Below are 23,431 nucleotides of genomic sequence, written 5' to 3'. Positions count from 1 at the left end.
TTTCATACTTTCCATATCTAGAAGTTTGATTTGAGTAATTTTTATATATTCTATTTCTCATGTTCAGTGTTTCCTTTAACTTTTTAGAGCATTTGAAATACAGTTAAATAATAACTTTTAATTTTCTTGTCTGCTATCTGTGTAATTTTAGGGTTTGGTTTTATCCAGTTTATCATCTGTGTAATTTCAGTATTTGGTTTCATTGTTTCATTTTTTTCTTCATTATGAGCAGTATTTTCTGCTTTCTTTGCATACCTAGTAATTTTGAGTCATTGTGAGTTTTATCTTGATTAACTACCAGTTACTGTGAGTTTTATCTTGTTGGATGCTGGGTATTTTTGTGTTTCTTTGGATCAACCTTCTCCAACCATTTTGGCACCAGTGATCGGCTTCATGGAAGACAAGTTTTTCCACAGATGGGGGTTTGGGGAGTGATTTCAGTGTGATTCAAGTGTATTACATTTGTTGTGTACTTTATTTCTATTATTATTACATAATCACCATAATGTAGGATCAGTGGGAACCTTGAGCTTATTTTCCTGCAACTAGATGATCCCATGTAGTGGTGATGGGAGACGGCGACAGATCATCAAGCATTAGATTCTCATAAGAAGCATGCAACCTAGATCCTCGCATACTCAGTTCACAATAGGGTTCACGCTCCTATGAGAATCTAATGCTGCTGCTGATCTGACAGGAGGCAGAGCTCAGGTGGTAATGCAAGCAATGGGGGACAGCTATAAATATAGATGAAGCTTTGCTCAGTCTCTACTACTCACCTCCTACTGTGTGGCCTGGTTCCTAACAGGTCATAAGCGGGTACTGGTCTGTGGCCTGGGGTTGAAGACCCCTGCTATAGATAGTATTCTTGAGCTTTATTTTGTTATACAGTTAAATTACTTGGAAACATTTTGATCTTTCAGAGGCTTATTTTTAGCTTTTTTTTAGGTGAGATCATAGCATTAAATCTTGGGCTTATTTTTTCCACTATTGAGACAATACCCATCCCATAACTCTTCTCAGTGCCTATGAATTATGAGGATTTTCCTGCTAACTGATGAGAACAAGAACTATTTCTGCCCTATGCAAACTTCAGGGATTATTCCTTGTAATGCAGTTTCTCAACCTTAGAATTATTGACATTTATGGGCTGGATAATTATTTCTGGAGTTTAGGGGACTGCCCTGTATATGACCAAATGTTTAGGAGCATCCCTGGCCTCAATACAGTAGATGGCAGTAACATCCTTTAAATTAAGACAATCAAAAATTGTCTCCAGATATTGCCAATGGCTCCAAGGGAGTACAATTGCCCTCAGTTAAGAGCCACTGCTCTAATTCTTTCTGGTAGTTTTCTTATATGCATGCCATGGCTAAGGACTTTGCTCAGGACTCAAGGGAGACCTCCTACAGATCTCCCAAATTCTGTATCTGCCACCCTTTCCTCTTCTATAGGCTTACCTGAGAATCTAGTCAGTTGACGTCTCTGGATTCCCAGCTCTGTTTTCCCAACTCAAGGAGACGACTGAGTTTTGCCTGTGTTTCTTTTTCCCCATCACAGCCTGGAAACTCTAGGCTGCAATGCTGGGGCAGTCATAGGCTCACATTGTTTCCTGTCTCTCAGTGATCTCTGTCCTTTGTTGCTTGATACCCAGCATCTTTGAAAACTATGGTTTCATTATCCTTTATTTTTATTTATTTTTAGTTTCTAGTTTTTTCAGGTGGATTCCTGTTAACCTCATCTTGGTCCTCATCTTTATTCTTGAAAGATACTTTTGCTGGGTACACAATTCTGGACTGGCTATTATTTTTTCTAAGCACTTTGAAGGTATTTGAACTGTCTTCTGGTGTCTACTGCTGCTGTTAATCAGCTGTCAATCAGTTTTCTTCTTTCCTTTCTCATGATCTATCTTTTTTTGCTCTGAGTACTTTTAGGATCTTCTCTTTGCCTTTGCCATTTTGTATTTCTGCTGTGATGTATTAAGCATAGGTTTCTTTTTATCTTTCCTTGTTCCTAAAGGATATATCAGGCTTCGTGAACGTTTAGAGTCTTTCTCTCATCACTTCTCAAAAATTTGCAGCCATTATCTTCTCAGGTATTTTATCATCTTGATGTTGTTTATTTCTTCCCCATTAAAACTCTTGTTGGATACAAAAAGCATGAACCACAAAGGAAAAAAACATTTATTGAGCTCATTAAAATTAGAATCCTTTATTGAGCAAAAATAACCAAGAAGGAGAGTGAAAGGGCAAGTTACCAAAAGGGAGAATGTATTTCTAGCACATGTAACTGATAAAGACTGGGTCCAGCATACTATAAATAGTTCTTACAAATTAATAAGAAAAAGACAGATGCAATAGAAAACCATGCAAATATCTTGAGGAGGCATCTCACCAAGAGACACACATGCCCAATAAACACAAATGGGTTTCGTTCTCATTCATTTTAAGAAAAATGAACATTTCAACCACAGGAGATACCGCTATACACTTGGAATGGCCAAATTTAGACTAATAATGTAAAATGTTTGGGATCATGTTAGAAAGCTAGAACTCACATTTTTAGTAGAAGTATAATTGAAAAACGCTACTAATTTTGAATGGGCTTACTATATATCTATGACCCAGACATTCTACTCTTAAATATACTTAAATAACATCATATATATATGCATCAAAAGATATGAAACATTTATGGCAGCATTATTTGTACTAGCCAAGAACGGAAAACAACCCAGATGCCCCTCAAAGGCATAATGGGTAAAGAAATTGCAACATATTTATATGTTGTAAAACTATATAGCAATGAAAAATGAATTCCTTCTACCATAAGTAACAGCATGGGTGAATTTCACTAACTTAATATTAGGGAAAAATGAATACTCACTTGTAATTCTAATTATATAATTTTCAAATAAAGGGAAAGATCGCCACTTTGGGGGGTATGGAGGGCATGATGACTAGGAATGAGCATAAGTGGGGGCCACTGGAGTTTGGTTAATGTTGTATTTCTTGTTTTCGGGGTGTTTATTTGGGCATATTCATTTTTGAAATTTATACTATACACTTATGATTTGTACTTTTTGTATATATGTTATAGTCAATTCAAAAGTTTGATTTAAAACAGACACTATTTGCCATTTTAGAGCTTCTGTTTCAGTAGACAGCAAATATAAACCATATAAACATAAAAATGCACATATGATTATAAATTATGGACATGTATGAAGGCAAAGAACAAGGTGCTATGGGATTGAGTCACCAGGGGATCTGCTTTTATGTAATGTTTTGGCCAGACCTCTATGAGAAAGAGTTATTCAAGTTGAATGAGGAGGAGGGCAGTGTAAGATAAGGTTGGAGAGGCATGCAGGACTTTTAGGACATCCTGGAGAGTTTGGTCATCCCAATGGATGGGCAACTTTAGAAGGGCTATTAAGGGGTAGTTATGTGATTTAAGTTTTTAAAATAATCACTCTGGCTACACTGTGAATTGCAGACTTGAAAATGGGCCAGAGTTGAATGCTGCTGAACCATTTAAAGATACTGGAGTGCTCCAGGCAAAAAATGATGGCATCCATAATCTAGACCAGGGACCTGACAGCTTTTTATGTAAAAAGTGTGTGTTCCACCTGCTAAACTTTGCCACTGTAGCATGACAGCGGCCATAGACAATGGATAAATGAATGAGCATGGCCTGTGTTCCAGTAAAACTTGATTTACAAAAACAGATGTTGTAGTTTACCAATCTCTGATCTAAGTGGAGAAAAGAAAACCTTTAGGTATATTTTGGAAGCAGATTTAATAGGATATGCACTAGGTGCAGTGGCTCATGCCTGTAATCTCAGCACTTTAGGAGTCCAAGGCAGGTGGATCATGAGGTCAGGAGTTCAAGACCAGCCTGGGCAAAATGGTGAAACCCCATCTCTACTGAAAATACAAAAAACTAGCCAGGCGTGGTGGCGGGCGCCTGTAATCCCAGCTACTTGGGAGGCTGAGGCCGAGAATTGCTTGAACCTGGGAGGTGGAGGTTGCGGTAAGCCAAGATTGCACCACTGCACTACAGCCTGGGCGACAGAGCGAGACTCTGTCTTAAAAAAATAAAAATAAAAAAAATAGCTGGGCATTGGGGCATGCATTTGTAATCCTGGCTACTCAGGAGGCTGAGGAATTAGGATCGCTTGAGCCTAGGCGTTGAGGTTGTAGTGAGCTATGATCCCACCGCTGAACTCCAGCCAGCGTAACAGAGCAAGACCTTGTGTCTAAAAAAAAGTTTTTAAAAAATAGAATATATATTGGTTATTGAGAATGTCAGTAAGAGGAGAGGATTCAAGGATGGCTTGAGTAATTTATGAATAGTGGTGTTGCTTATTAGGGGTCAAGTTTGTTGAAAGTCCAAAACTCACTCATCTAAAATAGTGAATTGTGACATGTCAAAGTTCTGGTGTTCTTTTCATCTTTGGTGTAGAATTACATTCTTTTATACACATAGTAGTCACCAATTACACACACAATTAAAGTGAGGAAAAAGACAAAAGAATCTGTCATATTGATCATCATTGTATTTTCTGCTAATAGGAGAAAAAATAGTAGGAAAGAACAAAATATAGAATATTCTCAGACTCTATTTGACATTGCATCTTTAGCCCTCATGTTCTCCCTTCCCCCAAAAGTAACATCCCCCGCACTCTTGCCCCAAATTGCTACCTTTTTAAGGATAAACCAGAGAATGTACAACTTAGAGGAGATTATTTGTTGATTCTTTACATACATCAGTGACACTGGGGACAGAGGTGGCTGCTAAGTAGAGCTGCTATCTGCTCTCTGGACAAGCACTGTTTCCCATTCCATTTGTAAGAGGAACCTATTCAAGTAATTGTCTTATTACCACTACTATGTCAAAACCGTAACACTGTTTTGATTTTCCTTATAGTTTGATGTGTTTGAAATTTTATATATATTACATATAATATATAAGTATGTATATTTACTTATTTAAATCAACCTTTGAATATTACAGGCTTTGCTCTCTGTACATGATACTGTGGCTCAGAAGAATTACGACCCAGTGTTGCCTCCTATGCCTGAAGATATTGACGATGAGGAAGACTCAGTAAAAATAATCCGTCTGGTCAAAAATAGAGAACCACTGGTGAGTTTTGGTGCTCAGATATGAGTAGATACCATGATAGGGCCAAATCTGATGGTGCATACCATGTATAACTCTTTAAAATATACTTCCTCTATGTTCTTAAACTTTAAAAGAAATGGAACATTGATGTCTAAAGAACATGCTTTTGAAAAATGAAAGTGAAGGTTAATAGACATTTTATTGGCTACATTTAAATAGCAATGATTTTGAAAATGTAACCTGTTGACATTTATGAAAGAAGGCGTAACATGTACCAAGCATGGTTGATTTGAGATTACATGGTACAACTTAAAAAAATTGCTATTGTCTATGGGAACGCAACTTTAAGTTATTTTATATACTTAATTCAATTGCTTTTTAAATTTAAACTAATTTACAGCAGGTCCAACAAAACTTTTGAGAAGTCTCAGTGAAGTAAACATCTAATTTCTTTGTTAAACATCTTTTGAAGATCTTATTTGGTCAGGAGGCGTGGAACTTAAATTTGTTTAATTTAATTTTATTTTATGTCCAAGTAGCTCTATTTTTAAAAATAAAAAAAGCTTAATATAGAAAAATAGAACCTCTAATGGCAATGAAGAAATTTCCAAAATTATTTGTTAGCTATTCCTTAAATAAAGTATTAAGATTTAAAATGTCATTTTAAATATTGGAATATGAAATCAAATGAATAGAATTACTTGTCTTGAAATTTTTCTCATTCAAATATATAATTAGTGTATTATCTTCGCAATTATTGTTAAGGTAAAGTAAGATTATTGTGTGAACAAATTTAAAGTTTAAAAAATACACTACCCAGAAGAATAGAAAATACTTTCAACAAATTTGTTATTTAACATCAGTCAAATGACATTTGTTAGTTCGGGGAATTGTTGGAGAAGCCACAAGACTGTCAAAGCGCAATGAAAAACACACAGAGAGAAGATTAAGAGTCAAAGATATCTTTAGGAGAATGAGCCCCAGTCGTGAGAATCAGAAGTAGGCAAAGTGCTGGAAGCTAAGCTGAAATAAAATTCTAGCAAGTGGATGGTCAGGAAATGCTTGGCAAGTGATTCATGAGGAAAGGCTGTAACGTTTGGCAACCAAGGGATAGGTTACCAGTGTTATCTAAAAATGCAATTTTGTTTATTGGGATCCATAATGTGGTGACATGAACACTGAGCTTGCACTGGATGACCTAAGTGGGAGTTGGGATCCTGTCACTTTGCCCTGTATCCTATAGAGCAAACCACTCACCATCTCAGCCTCAGGTTCCTTATCAGAAAATCAGGAAATGTACCTCTTTGCAAGTGTTTTTGAACATCAGCTAAGATATAATGTGTTTGGAATGGTTTATGAGTTCTGAAGCATTATGCAAACATTATGTAAATATTAGAATATATTCTATCTAATATTTAAAAGATATTAGAATATATTCCATCTAATATTTAAAAGATATTAGAATTTATATTCTAGTTAATACTTATAAAAGCTAGGTTGCATCTGCTCAAGGAGAGAATGGTTACCTCAGAGAACAGGCTGTGAACACAGGTTATGTGGGTATTAGATAATGGATAGGAAAAAGGGTAATTACTTAAGGGGCAAGATCCCTTGAAAATGAAATTCTGTTTGTTGGTGAGTAGATTTCGATCCTAAATTCTCAGTGTTACTTGCATCGGCTGTCCTCTTGCTTCCTTGAGAACAGTGGTTCTCAGATTTTGGTATTGGAAGAATGACCTGAGATGCTTACTTACAATGCAGATTTCTGAGCTGAATCCCAAGGGATTTATATCAGGAGGGTTTTTTTGGTGCCTGGGAATCTTGATTTTAAAAAGCGTCTCAGATGTTCTTGGTGCAAGTTTTTGGTAGATCACACTTCAAAAACACTTGTTTCAAAGGCTCAATCTGAAATTCACTGTGCCACCTACTTGAGGAGACCTTGCAATACGGCAGTTTATAGGAAATAAATAAAGTAAATTTTTTTTTTTTTTTTGAGACGGAGTCTCACTCTGTTGCCCAGGCTGGAGTGCAGTGGCGTGATCTCGGCTCACTGCAACCTCCGCTTCCTGGATTCAAGCAATTCTATAGGAGATAAATTTTTTGTTTAAGGAAATCATGATAACCCAGTAAGCAGTCCCCTTTTATAAACCATTTTACAGAATTAATAATTAAGAAAAATCTGACCAGAATTTATTTTTTCAATCTAACTTGAAATTCTCCATACTCTGTTTTTAAAACAAAATCACATAGAATAAATTCAAAATAATTATGTAGGAAAATAAGTAATTTTTAAAATATTAGATCCAATTTTAATTTATTTTGTGTTGGCAGACTATGCTATAGGATTGATGACTTTTGTACAGTATCACGTGTAATGTGCTCTGTGTTTTTGAGATTTGATCTTATTTTCATGGAAATATATTGCACTGGGAATACATCAAACAATTGTGGTAAGAGAGGTTTGGAAAACAATATGGAAATAGAAGTCTTCAAGAATGAAGGGTTCAAAGTGAAGATTGATTCAAGTGGTAGTATCATGTAGAAAGTGAGAGATTATTCTTCAAGTCTGTAGTTTACCCTCCAAGCAAAGTAGAATCAGGGGATAGCAAGAAGATTCTATCAGGGCACTTATCTCTGTCTATAATGAGACCCTTATGCGTTGGAGTGCTTTGCATTATCTATACATTCCAAAAGTGATTTTATTCTGCCCATGGCTTTAAAAAGCGTCTATGTGCCAGAGACTCCCAGGGTTATTTCTCTTCCAGTCTTTTCTTCTAATCTTTAAATTCGTATATCCATCTGTCTATTTGTTATCTCCATTTGGAGGTCTAATAGACATCTCAATTTTCACATATCCAAAAATAAACTGCTGATCTTTGTCCCCAAATCTGTTCCACCCTTGTCTTAACCCCTTTTAGTTGATGGCAATTCCATCCTTCCAGCTGCTCAGCCAAAAGAAGTTGAGCCTATCTTTAATCCCTCTCTTTCTTTTGCATTCCATAGGCAATCTGTTGGGAAATCCTTTAGACTCCACCAATAATATAGCCAGATCCCCTTTCATCACCTCTACTCCTGCCAGTCAGATCCATGCCACCATCATCTTTCCCTTGAATTACTGTGCAGAGTGAGCATCCCAAATCTGAAGATCTGAAATCCAAAATGTGCCAAAATCTGAAACATTTTGAGTGCAGACATGAGCTCCAAGGAAATGGTCATTGGAGACTCTTAGATTTCATATTCTTGGATTTGGGATGCTCAACCAATAAGAATGCAAATGTGCCCAAATCTGAAAAGAAAATCTGGAATCTGAAACACTTCTGGTCTAAGCATTTCAGACAAGGGATTAACCTCTCATTAATTTCATTGCTTTAGCCCTTGCCATCCTTCACTCTTAGCACAGTGGGTGGAGTGGTCCTCCTAGGTTGTGCCCCTCCTGCTGTTCACAACCTTGCATGTTCCCTCTTTCATTCAGAGTAAAGCCCAGTGTCCTCACAGTGACTCATAAAGCACATAAGCTGACTCCCTTCTGCCTTTACCTCATCTCCTCTTGCCGCTCCTCTGCTACTGGGCTCCAGCCACACAGGCTGCCTTGCTCGCTCTTGAGCATTTTATTCACAGCCTTCCCCTTGGCACCTTTGCACTGGCTGTGTCTTCTGTTCCTTCCCATTGGCTAACTTCTTCACCTCCGTCCAGTCTTTATTCACTCAGACATCATCTTCTCAGTGAGTCCTGTGTCTTCACATTGTCTTTCCTCCGCCTGCCCTGGCATCCTGGTCTTCTATTTCCTGCCCTACATCCCCTCACACCCCCACAGTGTTTACCACCTGATAGGGTTCGGCTCTGTGTCCTCACCCAAACCTCATCTTGTAGCTCCCATAATAACCACGTGTCGTGGGAGGGACCTGGTGGGAGATAATTGAATCACGGGTCAGGTCTTTCCCATGCTGTTCTTGTGATAGTGAATAAGTCTCACGAGATCTGATGGTTTTAAAAACGGGAGTTTCCCTGCACAAGCTCTCTGTTTGCCTGCTGCCATCCATGTAAAATGTGATTTGCTCCTCCTTGCCTTCCACCATGATTGCGAGGCCTCCCCAGCCACATGGAACTATAAGTCCATTAAACCTTCCTTTCATAAATTGCCCAGTCTCAGGCATGTCTTTATTAGCAGTATGAAAACAGACTAACTCTCTAACATACTGTATAATGTATGTAATTATTCCATCTCTTGTTTATTGTCTTGTCTCCCCCATTGGGATGAGAAAGCAGACATTTTTTTCTTTTTCATCAGTTTATTATAAGCCCTTAGAACGGTGCCTTGCACAGAGTAAGTTCTCAATAAACATTGGTCAACTTCATTGAATACAGAATAAGTCAAAGGAACTAGCATTAAGTATAACAAACAGGTTAGATAGCCCTATACTGAAAAACTGTACAGTCCATAGTACAGAGAGAGATTGGTTCCACTTAACTAATTCTATGTTGCAAACCACGGCTGTATGTTGTGGCGAAAACAATATTATTTTGGGGGTTGATGAGCTCAGCTGGGAGGTTCTCACTTGGAGTTCCTCATACATACAGTCAGATGGTGGTGGCTGGAGTGAACTGAGGGCTCCTTCATTTACACAACTGTTACCTGGGCTTGGAGCTGGAAGGTTGGGGGCTGGCCAAGTGTCTCTTTCTCTAATTGTTACCTTTACTTGGCTAGCTTGGGATTCCTCAGAGCATAGCAGTGGTCATGATTTCTTACATGGCAGTGAGATTCGCATAGAGCAAGTGTTTCAAGAGGCCCAAGTGGCAGCTACAGATCTTCTTATAGCCTTTGAAGCCTCAAAACCATTTTTACCACTTAATGTGGGAATATGGCATGCACATACAAGGAGGGAAGGAATTGGTGATCCCCCTTTTAGAGACAATCTCCCCCAAGAGTAATGAACTCATAGACAGAATGAACTTATGAACGAAAGGTTATGGGAAGATAGAGGTTAAGCAGTATTGGATGATGATTGAGATGAATGATTGTGTCTCTGGTCAGATTACCTTAAACAAGTCCTGATTTTTCCATATACTAGTTATCTGATCTTAGACAAATTACGACCATTTAATATTCAGTTTATCATCCAGAAACTATGGATAAGTAAACTTAGATTACTAGGCTTTTCTGCCGTTGGGCATATTTGGTGGGAAAATTTGAGACATGTCATTAAGGAAAATGAAAGTTGATTTAATCAAACTAATTAGTTATATTGAGAATATTACATTTCCAGTCATTTTGGAAACAAGTTAGAAATTGAAATAAAAGCAGAAAATACTAGTAGTTGGTGAGTCTAAGCTTTATGACCATGAAGTGATGCTCATTCAAGTCTCTGGCCTTGAATACATGCACAGGTGATGAAAAATGCCGTAAAATGCCTGTCACTTAATTCTTTGACTTTTTTACTATTATTGGCTATGTATCTGATAGTTATAGATAAAGGATACTTATTACAGATGGACTTTTACTTTGTTTACATATCTGTTCTTTAATGATATAAATGTGTTTATTGACAAACTGGAGAAAAATTTCACTTCTTTTGGATGAATTCTGCTGCCACTGAAAAGCATACCTTTTTAGCAGTATTATGCAATGTTGGATGGCTTTGCAAAACCAATGCCAGATTCTTAAAAGGAAAGTCATGGAAAGGCTTTCAAAGTAACCACTTGTGCCTGTTGTTCTTACAAGGCAGCAGTTAATTTGCTTCTGAGTATCTGTAAGTGAAGAATTTTTGGCTTCTTTTTGAGACTGTTTCCTAATCTTATGCCAATACTTAGTTCTATTTGTACTAGTTACAATCCTAGTTCACTAAAACCATGGAGTAAGAGCTCTTTCTTCTAATCATTTGTCTTAGACTTAGGCAACAAATATAACTAATTTCTGGGTTTTAACTTTTTTCTTTTTCTTTATAATTATCGCCCAAGTTTTTTTTAATTTTTAAATTTTTATTTTTTTACTATGATAACTGAGGGTGATAGAAGGATCACTGAACTAACTAAAAGTCAAATGATCTGGGTTTTAGTTTTTTAACATATAGAATCTTTTGTCTATTAGTGTAATTGTCACTATTCCACTTTCTTGATGCGGTACTATAAGGATGAAATGAATGAAGAATTGCTTTAAAAGGATAAAAACCAAACAGCATTGAAATACAAGGTATTTTTATAATGGAAAGAAGGTATGTTTATTTTACACAGTTTTGAAGAGGTTGAAGATTTCAAAAATCCTTAAATTGGGCTGAAACCCTTTGATGCTATGTAGATAGAATTTCCTCTATTTAGTCATGAGAATAGACATTCTAAGACAAATGGCATGATGTCTATTTTTCCTGCCTCATTTCTTTTTTTTCGTTTTTGTAGTTGTTTTCTCTTTTTTCAGATGAATGTCCTTATTTCCTCCTTTTCTAACACCTAGTACACACATTTACCCACAAATGCTTTTTGTTTTTGTCTTAAAAGGGAGCTACCATTAAGAAGGATGAACAGACCGGGGCGATCATTGTGGCCAGAATCATGAGAGGAGGAGCTGCAGATAGAAGTGGTGAGACTTTAAATGTTAACCAAGTACAGACTAATCACGTGTTTCGTGTGTAGCATTTCCAGTAGATAACTAAGAGGATAACCATCTTTGGATCTAATACAGCAGAACAAGTAATAAGATATTTTTCTCTGTGTTGAAATGTGAGAGCCTATTTAAATAAATGATAGATAAACATTACTCTATGGTCTTCTTGTACACAAGCATCCAAAGCTATCTTAAAACTTGTGGGCCGGGCGTGGTGGCTCACGCCTGTAATCCCAGCACTTTTGGAGGCCAAGGCGGGTGGATCACGAGGTCAGGAGATCAATACCATCCTGGCTAACACGGTGAAACCCTGTCTCTACTAAAAATACAAAAAAAAAAAAAATTAGTCAAGTGTGGTGGCGGGCACCTGTAGTATCAGCTACTTGCAAGGCTGAGGCAGGAGAATGGTGTGAACCTGGGAGGCGGAGGTTGCGGTGAGCCGAGATTGTGCCACTGCACTCCAGCCTGGGTGACAGAGCGAGACTCCGTCTCAAAAAAAAAAAAAAAAAAAAAAAAAAATCTTGTTTCTTCTGTATTTCTCAATTGAAAAGTACTGCTAAGAGCATGCAGCCTTTAAGATAAATAAAAATTATTTTATTAGTATATTAGTATAAGATATCAGTAATGTGCATTTCTAGACAAAGACCAAGCTCCTGTTACCATTTCTTGGCCAGCATTACTATGTTGTGGTTTTTGAGTCACTGCTATGGAGAGGCATAGAGGCTGAAACCTGAGATGTGTGAAGGTCTCCTTTCCATTCGTTAAGTGTATTAAGGGAACCTAACAATGCTTTACTTATGGAAACAGCTGCAAATTACAGTTTTGGTTGTGGGTAACACTGCTAATTTACCAAATCTCCTATTTCTCAGGTCTTATTCATGTTGGTGATGAACTTAGGGAAGTCAACGGGATACCAGTGGAGGATAAAAGGCCTGAGGAAATAATACAGATTTTGGTAAGCTGTAAATTTCTTTTAAAGGTACAATAAAAATAAAATCGAATCACTGTATTTCAGACTTTTAGACTTGGTTTGACATAGACAGGATTTGTATTAAGCAGTGCAGGGTTCGAACACTTAATCCCTGTGTGTTCTTGGAAAATATCTTAATCTATTCATGCCTCAGTGTTTTCATTTGCAAAATGAGAATAAGAGGTAACTATCCATCTGGAGTGTTTTGAGGATTAAATGAGATAGTATATATAAAGAGTTTTAGGGCCGAGTGTGGTGGCTTATATCTGTAATCCCAGCACTTTGGGAGGCTGAGACAGGTGGATCACCTGAGGTCAGGAGCTTAAGACCAGCCTGGCCAACATGGTGAAACCCGTCTCTACTAAAAATACAAAACAAAATTAGCTGCACGTGGTGGCAGTCACCTGTAGTCCTAGCTACTTGGGAGGCTGAGGCAGGAGAATCGCTTGAACCCAGGAGATGGAGGTTGCAGTGAGTCGAGATCACACCACTGCACTCCAGCCTGGGCGTCATAGCAAGACTTTGTCTCAAAAAAAAAAAAAAAAAAAAAAAAGAATTTAGTACCTGTCCCTGTCCCAAGTCTATACTTAGCAGATGGCATCTACACTGTGGCTGGTGATGCATTTATCTTTGTCTTCCTCCCATTGACACAGTCACATTCCATGCTATAGATCATAGCAATACAAATTAGTCAAACTAATTTAGATGTCTTTTGAAATCTGACACTTGAATAAAATTATTTTATGCCTTGGAAATATTAATTCTAAAGTTCATTTGTAAGATAAAAGGAAGGGAAACTCTCTTTTATATGTGAAAACATACTGGAAACCTATACCAACTAGAAGAGGTTTGAGTGTGTCTCAAAAACAGATCTCTGTATATATGAAAATTTAGTATATGGTTAAGGTGGCATTTTAAATCAGTGGGAAAACAGTGGAACATTTCATAGATGGTATCAGGTTAATGGCGCAGAAAAAATAAGGTCAATCCTTGTTTTACACAATACATAAAAATAAATTCCCAACAAATTAAATAAGTGCAAAAAAAACAAAAATTGCACAATAAAAGGTAATATACAATTTCTATAATTATAAGGTAGAAAAAGACTTTTTAACCTTGATATGAAAGTCAAATAGAAAAATAACAGATGTGTCTACTAGAATTCAAAACTTTCTTTATAGAAAAAAGGTGCCATAAAGAAACATCAAAGACAAATGAGATTGTATGAAAAATATTTTCAGTATATATAATAAAAGGCTAATGTTTCAAAATATATAGAGATGATAAAAATCAATAAGAAAAACATTTACAGAAAAATCAGCAGTGCATATGGACAAATACTTTACAAAAGAAAACATAGATGTCTGGAGACACGAAGGTGATGCCAAGCCCAGGGCAGGCTTGATCCCCTCAAAGCATTTTCAGGATATGAGATTGGAAAGCTTGATAATGCCTAGAGTTGGTCAGGGTATAGGAAAATAGGTATATTTATATGATTTGGGGATGGGATAAATTATTAGTAGAACTTTTTGAGATCTGAAACTATCAAAATTTTAAATGTGCATACCCTTTAGTTGGAAATTAATCCTCAAGCAATAATTTGGTAAATGTGTATAAACAAAATTTTTCAAAAATATTCGGAAACTACCAAGAAAGTTGCGTTGATCAAATAATCATTCATCCATATGCTAGATTATTGTGAGGCAATCACGAGAGATAGACCTATATGGCTCAGCAGTAATAGTAATAACAATTGAGTCCTTATTAAATGACACTGTTGTAAGGACCATAGATCCATTTAAAAAAAAACACACAGACACAAACTAGAAAAATAAGAGGAGATTATAGAAAAGACTTTTGTTTTCTCTCTACCAATGTAATTCAGTATTACAGTATGAGAATTCTTTATAAGATTTGTGAGCGCCTTCTACAATAAGCAATAGCAATGATATTACCATTTTGAAATAAATCAACCCTTTATAAAATTCTATTATTTAAACTATCAGAATCCCATTTTACTTAACTTGCTGTGTTGCACTAGAGCTGCCTTCTTAAGGCTCGGCCCAGAGCTGACTGTGTGATGCACCATTTCCCAACTCAGCTTTCAGCAACTTCATGCTGGTGAATTGAAATTGACTATAGTGAAAGTATTTATACCATGGAAATTGACAGACAGTACACATCAGAGCCTTTTTTTTTTTTTAAATAAATGGAGTCCTGGTTTACCAGTGCACCACAGATAGTGAGACTCAGAGATATGTCTTGCCCTACCCCCCTTCCTTTCATATCTTTCAAATGTGCCAAGTATTTAGTGCTTTTATGGAGCTTACAAATTAGCAGGAGTAACATATCTTATGAAATAATGGCATAAATAATTAAATATGGCTACAATACATGGTAAAAAGAGAGAGACAGAGAATGACATGAGACTATATTTAAAGAGAAATCCTATCTGAGATAACAAAAACTTGTGGGTGCTGGTACTTATTTTAATGAAGTTAGAATAGATACTCAGTCTTTTCATCTTTCAATTAATCTATTACGTTGGATATTTTACTCGCTCACCAGAATACAATAGATATGAATGTTCTTTATTTTTTTTTTCTGATGGGCATTGCCACTAATTGAATCATGTATTTGTAACTGCACTACTGACATTATAGGTGTTTTGTCCCCCAAAACATGGATGCTGATACTTAAATGTAACTGTATGAACCTTGTACATTATTCTTTAAAAAAAAAAAAAAAAGCTTCTTGCTCTGTCACCTAGGCTGGAGTGCAGTGGTGCGATCACAGCTCACCGCAGCCTTGAACTCCTGGGCTCAAGAGGCCTTAGCTTCATCACCACGCTTGGCTAATTTTTAAAATTTTTTTTGTAGAGACAGGGGTTTTGCTATATTGCTGGTCTTGAACTCCTGGGCTTGGGTGATCCTGCCACCTTGCCTCCCAAAACACTGGAATTACAGACACGAGCCACTGCACCCAGACCTTTATACATTATCTGTTCTAGTCATTGAATACTGTGTTTATTTAAGGTGTTGTGCATATTTTGTGTGTTTCTATTTCGAAGAAACTTGGATGGGAATGTATTTACTTGACAGCTTAAAAGTACACAGGAAGTAAAAGTGGATTTAGGAGTTAATGTTTTTTAACTTATTCTACAAACTTCAGAGCTTTCTTTCTCACATTACAGGAATTTCTACAAAAATAGTTTCCTCCGTTTAGTCTATCTAAGAGTAGAAGCCCCAAGCTTGTAAATTTTCAGATGCATTTCACTTTCTACCTATTTTACCTTATTCTTCCTTGGGTCTGGTTTTCTTATAACTCCTTGTTTTATCTGTTACCAGGCTCAGTCTCAGGGAGCAATTACATTTAAGATTATACCCGGCAGCAAAGAGGAGACACCATCAAAAGAAGGCAAGGTAATTATTGCTTAAAAACATTTCTTCGTGCGTGGGAGGGAAGTCATGTTTTTCCATCCAACACATATCCACTTTGTCACAACACATTTCTTTCAATATTCCAGTTTTAAAATTACTATGTTTGGAGTCGGAGTTAGGAGAATATAGGCCATTTCACATTTATTTTTTATCTTTATTCATCTTTAATGAAACTTTTCTTCCAGATGTTTATCAAAGCCCTCTTTGACTATAATCCTAATGAGGATAAGGCAATTCCATGTAAGGAAGCTGGGCTTTCTTTCAAAAAGGGAGATATTCTTCAGATTATGAGCCAAGATGATGCAACTTGGTGGCAAGCGAAACACGAAGCTGATGCCAACCCCAGGGCAGGCTTGATCCCCTCAAAGCATTTCCAGGAAAGGTGAGCTGCTGGTACATAATAATGGCTTTTCTCCAGCTGACCTTTTGTTCTCTGCAAAATATCATTCTGGCATTGATGTGATAAAATATGCTATAAAACCTTGCCTTAGAATTTTTTATCCTGTGGGTTTGGATTTCTGTTTTGTCTAACTAAGTATGATGAATGACCAAAAATAATATGACAGTACTGGGTCATATTAGATTTTTGTTATGAAGCAAATGGAAAATAGCACATTAATATCTTGAAACCATGTTGATATGAAAGGTGGAAAAAAAAAAGACCAGTGGTTTTGGAGGGAGGGAAGATAATTTACAAAAATTTGAAAGTGGGCGATTTGTTTCTTAATTTGAATCTATTGCATTACATTCATTTTTTTCTCTAACCTTTAAGTTTTTTCTTAAGACTAAATATTTTGATATTGTATTCACCTCGGACCTGTGCTGAAAATTGATAGGTATGTTGACCTTCTTTCTCCCAGGAGATTGGCTTTGAGACGACCAGAAATATTGGTTCAGCCCCTGAAAGTTTCCAACAGGAAATCATGTAAGTTTGTTAATAAGAATGCAGAGAAACCAAACCCTGATGTTTATTTTTGACTATTAAAGCAGGTGCTCATGGCAGAACAAAGGGTCCTATTACCCTAGCAATAACTTTGGGATCATCAGTTCTCAGGAACAAACAAATATGAGATTCATATTTGGAATATTAACATGAATCTTTTGAGGAAAGGGGTGGTTGAGGTTGTTAATAATAAATCCATGACTCACTCTTTAAGAAAGTGACTACTACTACTACTGTCTTTGATTTCCAAATATAGTTATTTTATTAAATGTCACCTAAAATACAGCTCTTCCTTCTTCAAAGCCAGGAAGTTTGGGTTAGGTATTTCTTGGTAAAGATTAGGGAGAAAAAAAATCTACCATTTTCTTGGGTACAAAAGCAATTGTGCTCAAGACCAATTGTTCTTAATTCCTTTCTTATCCCCAGATCATAATACTTCTGACCTTTAGCCTATCCCTTTGGAGTTATTACCAGACTAGATTAAAAGAAAATGAGAGAAAGACAAAGGATGGCTACCGTATGACTACTGAAAAACTTAGTGTGCATTTAAATACTTTTTTTTCTCTTTCAGCCTAATCTTCTGTCAGCTTTTCTTTATTTCCCACCACCCAGCTCTTCAAGTCTGCATCCCATAAATTCCCTGTTCCACCTCGCCTAGATGTTTCATGGTTCTAGGTATTTTAAGAGGAAAAAACCAACCCTTTGTTTTTAGCATAGAAACTGTACATTAAACAGCGAAATGACCAAATAAATGGCCCTGGAATTTTACACCAACATCTGTTTTTAGTATTGTTGCATTTTTCACATCTCCTGTGATTTCTGTCAGTTTGCAGAAGCATATAGCCCAGGAATCACATTAGAAGGGAGCCAAACTGTAGTCGAGTATAAATCTCACAAGCAGGCAAATGCTTAAAGTGGAGCACTCATTCAAAAGCCTGCTTGTCCTTGCTACATTAAGTCTAGGCACAAGGAAAAAAACCCTTGTCACAGAATGCTACAAGTCTTCTGACATCAGAAAACTTAAAGCTTTCGTGAGAATATTGCACTGTTCTTAAGCGTGATGACTTTTCACTGGCCAACTCACTAACAGAAAGGAGCTTTGAGGCTCCTTGCCTGACTGGCTCTCAAAGGGATTTTTAAATAGGAGGCTTACACATTTCTAATATATTTGGCATATGTGGGATAAGATAATGTGTCACTTAAAGATGAAATAAATGTAATTATACTCGAATCTGGATCCATACTCAACTCTTTTTCAGTCCTAGGCAACTTAGAAATGTACAGTTTGATATTATTATAAATTTTCATTGATTGAAAATTTTTGATAAGTGTATATGTATTTCTTTAAAAGAACTATACAAAAGGGATATTTTGCTTTTTAATAGCTCTTTCAAACTGGTTTCTATATAGATGCATAGGAAGGTGAGGTGTGTGTGGGGGTATGTGTGTTTGTTTGTGTGTGTATGTAGAAGTATTAATTGTAACGGAGTCCTTTTGTATGTTGATTTGCATGATTTCTTTTTTATGTTAATACTTCAATATTTGGATCTGATAAATATTTATTCTAGCATTTATCTTTACTGAAATGTCCTCATTTGACTAATTTTGTTTTTTTTTGTTTTTGTTTTTGCTTTTTCTGCCTCTTGAATACCATTCAGAAATGTTTGCTGGTCCTCCTCTCTTTCTTTCTCCTCTCTCTCTGTCTCTCTTATTAAACTAGAGTTTGATTCACTGAGAGATGCATTGTTTGTTTTTATATATGTTATTTATTTTCAAATAAATCTGGTCAAAATTATCCTTATTAAATCATAAACATATAACAGATATGGACTTGTTCAGAGAGACAATATATTTCTGTGACAAATAGGCAGCTAATGTCTTTATTCTCAAAGAATTGAAATTCTACTTGAAATTTCCTTGAATATTGTCTCACATAAAGTTAAAAGTTATGCATAAATCATTGTATTGATTCTGAACATTTTAAATGGCATTTAAAAACACTTTAACCTATGTTTTGATGATGATTCTTTACCAAACTAAAACTTGTAAAGGCCATCTGATCCACTACTTTCTGGATTTCAATATTTGGTACTTAGGGTTTTGGAATAGGAAACTTACGTTATCATGCCCTTTGTTGAATTATAGGAAAATGCCATGAAGAAAAACAGCAAGTTGGTATAAAATCTTTTGTTTTTATGATTTTGAATATTAATAGAATAGGGTTGTAAAAAAAGTTTCTGATTCAATTAAAATTTATAAAGGAAGAATAATTCTATCATGTCAATGTTTATAAATTTATTTTAAAAATACAGTGATAAAAACTTTATCCACTAATTTTTACAAGTGTACTTAACATCTAGGAGGAAATTGCAAATATAGGATTTGAAATAATGAATTTAGTCACATAATACCATTTACGAAATTAGCCAGTTAACTTTTTATACAAAGTGATTGCTCGTATTACTCTTTTCTAAATCTTTATTTTGCTTTTTATTTCATTTGTAGTGTATCACCATAACTTGAGTTTGCATGGGGGAAAAGTTCATGGAAGATGGTTCTGGAACTATAGGGTTTCAGTTAATATCAACATAGAAATAAATAAGGAAGGGCACATCCCAATCTTACTGTCTTTGCATTTTTGCACTTATATTTGTGCTAGAGCTCTAGTTCTTGGCTCCAAGGTAAGTAAAATCAGGAGCCATGATAATAACAACCTCTTTAGGCTTTGAAACTAGCCTCCTTATGCAAAATTCATAAGTGCAAGTCATATTCATCTTTGTTGCTTGGTTATGTCCTCCCCTAAAGAATCTTTGTGTATCTAATACAAACCCAGAAGAATAAAAAGGCTTTTCAAACAAAAAAATAATTTACCTCTTAAAAAATTCCTGAAAACTAAAACATGACCTCTTAAACCTAAAATATTTCTAAGTCTTAAGTAGCTGGATATAAGGACTTGTCTCCTCCCCCTATTTTTTGGAAGAATTGCTTACCGAACAAAGATATTTGTAATGGAAATTTGTTTCCCTCCCTCTCCATCATCTAATGATAGGTTCCCACATAATGGATTTATATTAGTAATGCAGAGAGAAAAGCAGGCCTCAAAGTCTGATAGATTTTCTTTTATATGACCAGCTTTTAGATTATTATATACAAGATGTAGCTTAAGTGTTCTGGAAATGAGTAAAAGTGAATCTTATGTCTCAGATAGAATGTAGGAGTACTTTTGCATGACAGGAACTTGGCAGCTTGCATTTCTTGTGTCAATATAATTTAAAGTATTCTAATTTTCTGCCTAAAACTTATTTTTATAGTTTGGTTGCATGTACTACCTAACCGTTAAGAAAGAAATAGGAATTCATTTGTGGTATTGTTTGTTGCTTTTCTATTGAAATCTAAATACAAGTTAAGAATTGTCTTCCTAATGACATCAAATTAATTTAAGTTCAGTAGGATGTGATTTATATTAAATATTTAAATCCAGTATATATTGTCTTCAGAAAGGAGTAAGAAAAAGCTGTTATTCAGGTAGTGTATTTTACAACAGAATATTCAAGTGTGAGTTTTTATAGTGTTGTTTCCTTTTTTTAGTTATCAAAATATAAGAACCTAAAAGTTTCTAATATTGCTGACTGAATAACCTTAATTCAAAATTTTTGTTTTACACAATAACTCTTAAAAAATTCTTGCAGTCAAAGAAACAAGAATGTACAATTTTTCAACCATTTAAAGATTAGAAAGGAAAACACAAAATATTTTATTGTAGAATTTGTTTTAACTAGTCATGATTATTATTATGCAGGTAAAAAGAAAACATTTAACTGAAGCCAAAGGGTATCCATTTAAGCAAGGTGTAACTTAGTTCATTCAAAGGCAAACATTTGTCAGTTGATAATCACAATAGGCAAAAAAGAATTTAAGCATTGAGTAAAATAACGAATTCACTGCACACGGTACCGGTATTTTGGAATGTCTTAACACTTAGGAATAATATATCACAGGATGCTACAAGTCATTGTAATAAAGCTTTTCAAGTTGAGTAAGCTTCTTCTTCCTGGATTCTTAAGTAATTTTATTTGTTGTTTTCATACATAAAGTTAATTCAGAAACAAACACATTGCTTATGTTGTTACATGAAGTTTGTATGTCTAAAACATTGTCAAACATTTTCTTAATATTGGTGGGGTCTTGTATAAACAGAAACACGTGGGGTTTTAAAAAATACCTAACATTGGCCGGGCACAGCGGCTCACGCCTGTAATCACAGCACTTTGGGAGGCCGAGGCAGGCAGATCACAAGGTCAGGAGTTCGAAACCAGCCTAACCAACATAGTGAAACCCCGTCTCTACTAAAAATACAAAAAAATTAGCCAGGCGTGGTGGCACATGCCTGTAATCCCAGCTACTCGGGAGGCTGAGGCAGGAGAATCGCTTGAACCTGGGAGGCAGAGGTTGCAGTGAGCCGAGATTGTGCCATTGCACTCCAGCCTGGGCAATAAGAGTAAAACTCCATCTCAAAAAAAAACAAAAACAAAAAACAAAACAAACAAACAAACAAACAAAAAACCTAACGTATTTTTCCCCTAATACTAATACTATCTGGAAGATGCCAGAGTTCAGAGTTTGGGTGGAAAGAGGTGTAGATGAACTAAGTTGTAAATTTCATATCTGATCACTTAAATCGAAGATGGTTGAGGTGAAGAACCTTCTAACTGTTACTGCTCACACTCAGTCTCAGTGAACTGTGTTCTCCTGGGATTCCCCAAGATGTTGCTTCTCAAACACTATCAGAGTAGATGCTTCTAGTCTTTCCATTGGAAGCGTTCTCAGCCCTATTGTCTCTTGTATTTTGTCCTGGGGACTCAATGCCATGCAGGTTGGAAAGCATTGGTTAACTCTTAGGGGTCTGATCTGTGGTTGCGGATTATTGCAGACTTTTAGGACGGATTGCGGTAGGGGGTGGGGAATTTAGGAAAGTGGTTTCTAGTATGGGGATTTAACCTTGCCCATGTGAATAATAGCACACTAATATAGACACAGTTTCTCCACTTGTCAGGAGTGTCACACATGTCCCTTGCAGAGTGACATCCAGCAGAATGGGACGTTTACTACTGCCCAGTGTGCAGGACTCACCACGTGCTTTTCACAGAACCTTTCTAGTTCATTCTCTTAAGACAGCACATTTATCTTTCTCTTTAAAAAAAAAAAAGGTTTTCCTTTTTTTGAGACAGGCTCTCACTCTGTTGCCCAGGCTTGAGTGCAGTGGCACCATCATAGCTGACTGCAGCTTTGAACTCCTGGGCTCAAGTGATCCTCTTGTCTCAGCCTCCTGAGTAGCTGGGACTACAGGCATGCGCCACCACCCCCAGCTAATTTTTAAAATTTTCTGTAGAGATGGGTTCTCACTATGTGGTTCACGCTGATCTCAAACTGCTGGCTTCAAGTGATCCTCCTTCTGTGGCCTCCCAAAGTGCTGGGATTATAGGCATGAGCCACTGTGCTCAGCCACATTCATCTTTTTGAGATCTTCTTGGCCTCCCCTTTGTCACTTTTCTAACTTTCCTCTCCTGCTCTAATGTACTTGAAGATAGCAGATGGTGGACTCTTGATAACACTGGAGAGAGGAGCTGGCCCTCCCTGGCCACTCCTGGCAGGAGACTCTCCCTTGGAATACCGAAGCTTTGGGGAGGGATGGCGGGCCATGGGAGGTCATGCTAAGTCAGTAGGAAACTTGTAAGAAACTTTATGTCCCTCGACCTCTCTCCTGCCCATTTCTAGTCTGAGACTTGAGTAATCAAAACATGATTTTGTCATGATTAGCATAGCATTGAATTAAAAACTCAGACTCGAGCCAGATGGCATGGGTCCAAATCCCAGTTTTAACATGGACAAGTGTGTTGTATTTTTTTTTCTTTCTAATTAGTTCTTGAGCTCTCTCTAGAAAGTGGCTATAAACTCTAGCCCTGCTCTGATGCAGGGGAGGTGGTCGTGGCTGTCTGCAGTGTGCCTTTCTTGGGATACTTCTTTCTGGTGGAAGGCCTAATGCCTAAGTGTCCACCTGTGACCAGATGTCCTCTCTCATAAGGACTTGATTATATTGACAGACACTCTTGGGGCTCTTGTCTGACCTGTTTCCGGTTTATTCCTACCAAGATAGCCACTCTCTAGGAATGCCCTGACCAGGAAATACTGTAGATTCAGGTGTGCTGGGCAGGTGAGACACAGAGGAGGCAACGTGAAATAGCAGGGGTGCATGAAATAGCAGAGGTAGTGTATTACTCACAGATCCCAGAGAGGAGAGCAGTATACCTCGCAGGGCCAACAGGAAGAGGGGAGTTGTCTGGGATGCAGACTCAACC

The 23,431-nt window shown here is 36.6% G+C and overlaps 1 protein-coding gene across 17 annotated transcripts in view, besides 1 other annotated feature; it reads left to right on the top strand.

Annotated features, from left to right (window-relative positions):
• Positions 1-23,431, top strand: part of MPP7 (MAGUK p55 scaffold protein 7) — a 284,211-nt gene that overhangs the window by 198,496 nt on the left and 62,284 nt on the right. For 14 of the 17 annotated variants that reach the window (NR_134518.2, NR_134517.2, XR_007061944.1 and 11 more), the window contains 6 exons: positions 5,017-5,148; positions 11,617-11,698; positions 12,592-12,677; positions 16,040-16,114; positions 16,318-16,514; positions 16,993-17,057. Coding sequence is in view for 14 of the 17 variants with exons in the window: in XM_047424647.1 (XP_047280603.1) it covers positions 5,017-5,148; positions 11,617-11,698; positions 12,592-12,677; positions 16,040-16,114; positions 16,318-16,514; positions 16,993-17,057 (637 nt within the window). In the remaining 3 variants the exon portion in view is untranslated. Of the gene's footprint in view, positions 1-5,016; positions 5,149-11,616; positions 11,699-12,591; positions 12,678-16,039; positions 16,115-16,317; positions 16,515-16,992; positions 17,058-17,646; positions 17,850-23,431 lie in introns of those variants that run through there. The other 3 variants (XM_047424651.1, XM_047424650.1, XM_017015743.3) reach the window with 1 other exon arrangement.
• Positions 16,314-17,513: an enhancer, noted in NCBI's record as "MED14-independent group 3 enhancer chr10:28408124-28409323 (GRCh37/hg19 assembly coordinates)". NCBI's record gives its function as "activates an origin of replication core promoter dependent on BRD2, BRD4, P300/CBP and CDK7 cofactors, and independent of MED14, by STARR-seq in HCT116 cells {active_cell/tissue: HCT116}" and the evidence as "EXISTENCE:reporter gene assay evidence [ECO:0000049][PMID:35650434]".

Source organism: Homo sapiens, chromosome 10, assembly GCF_000001405.40.
Source record: "Homo sapiens chromosome 10, GRCh38.p14 Primary Assembly".
NCBI classification, from domain to species: Eukaryota; Metazoa; Chordata; class Mammalia; order Primates; family Hominidae; genus Homo; species Homo sapiens.
This window is presented reverse-complemented; position numbering and strand designations above follow the sequence as displayed.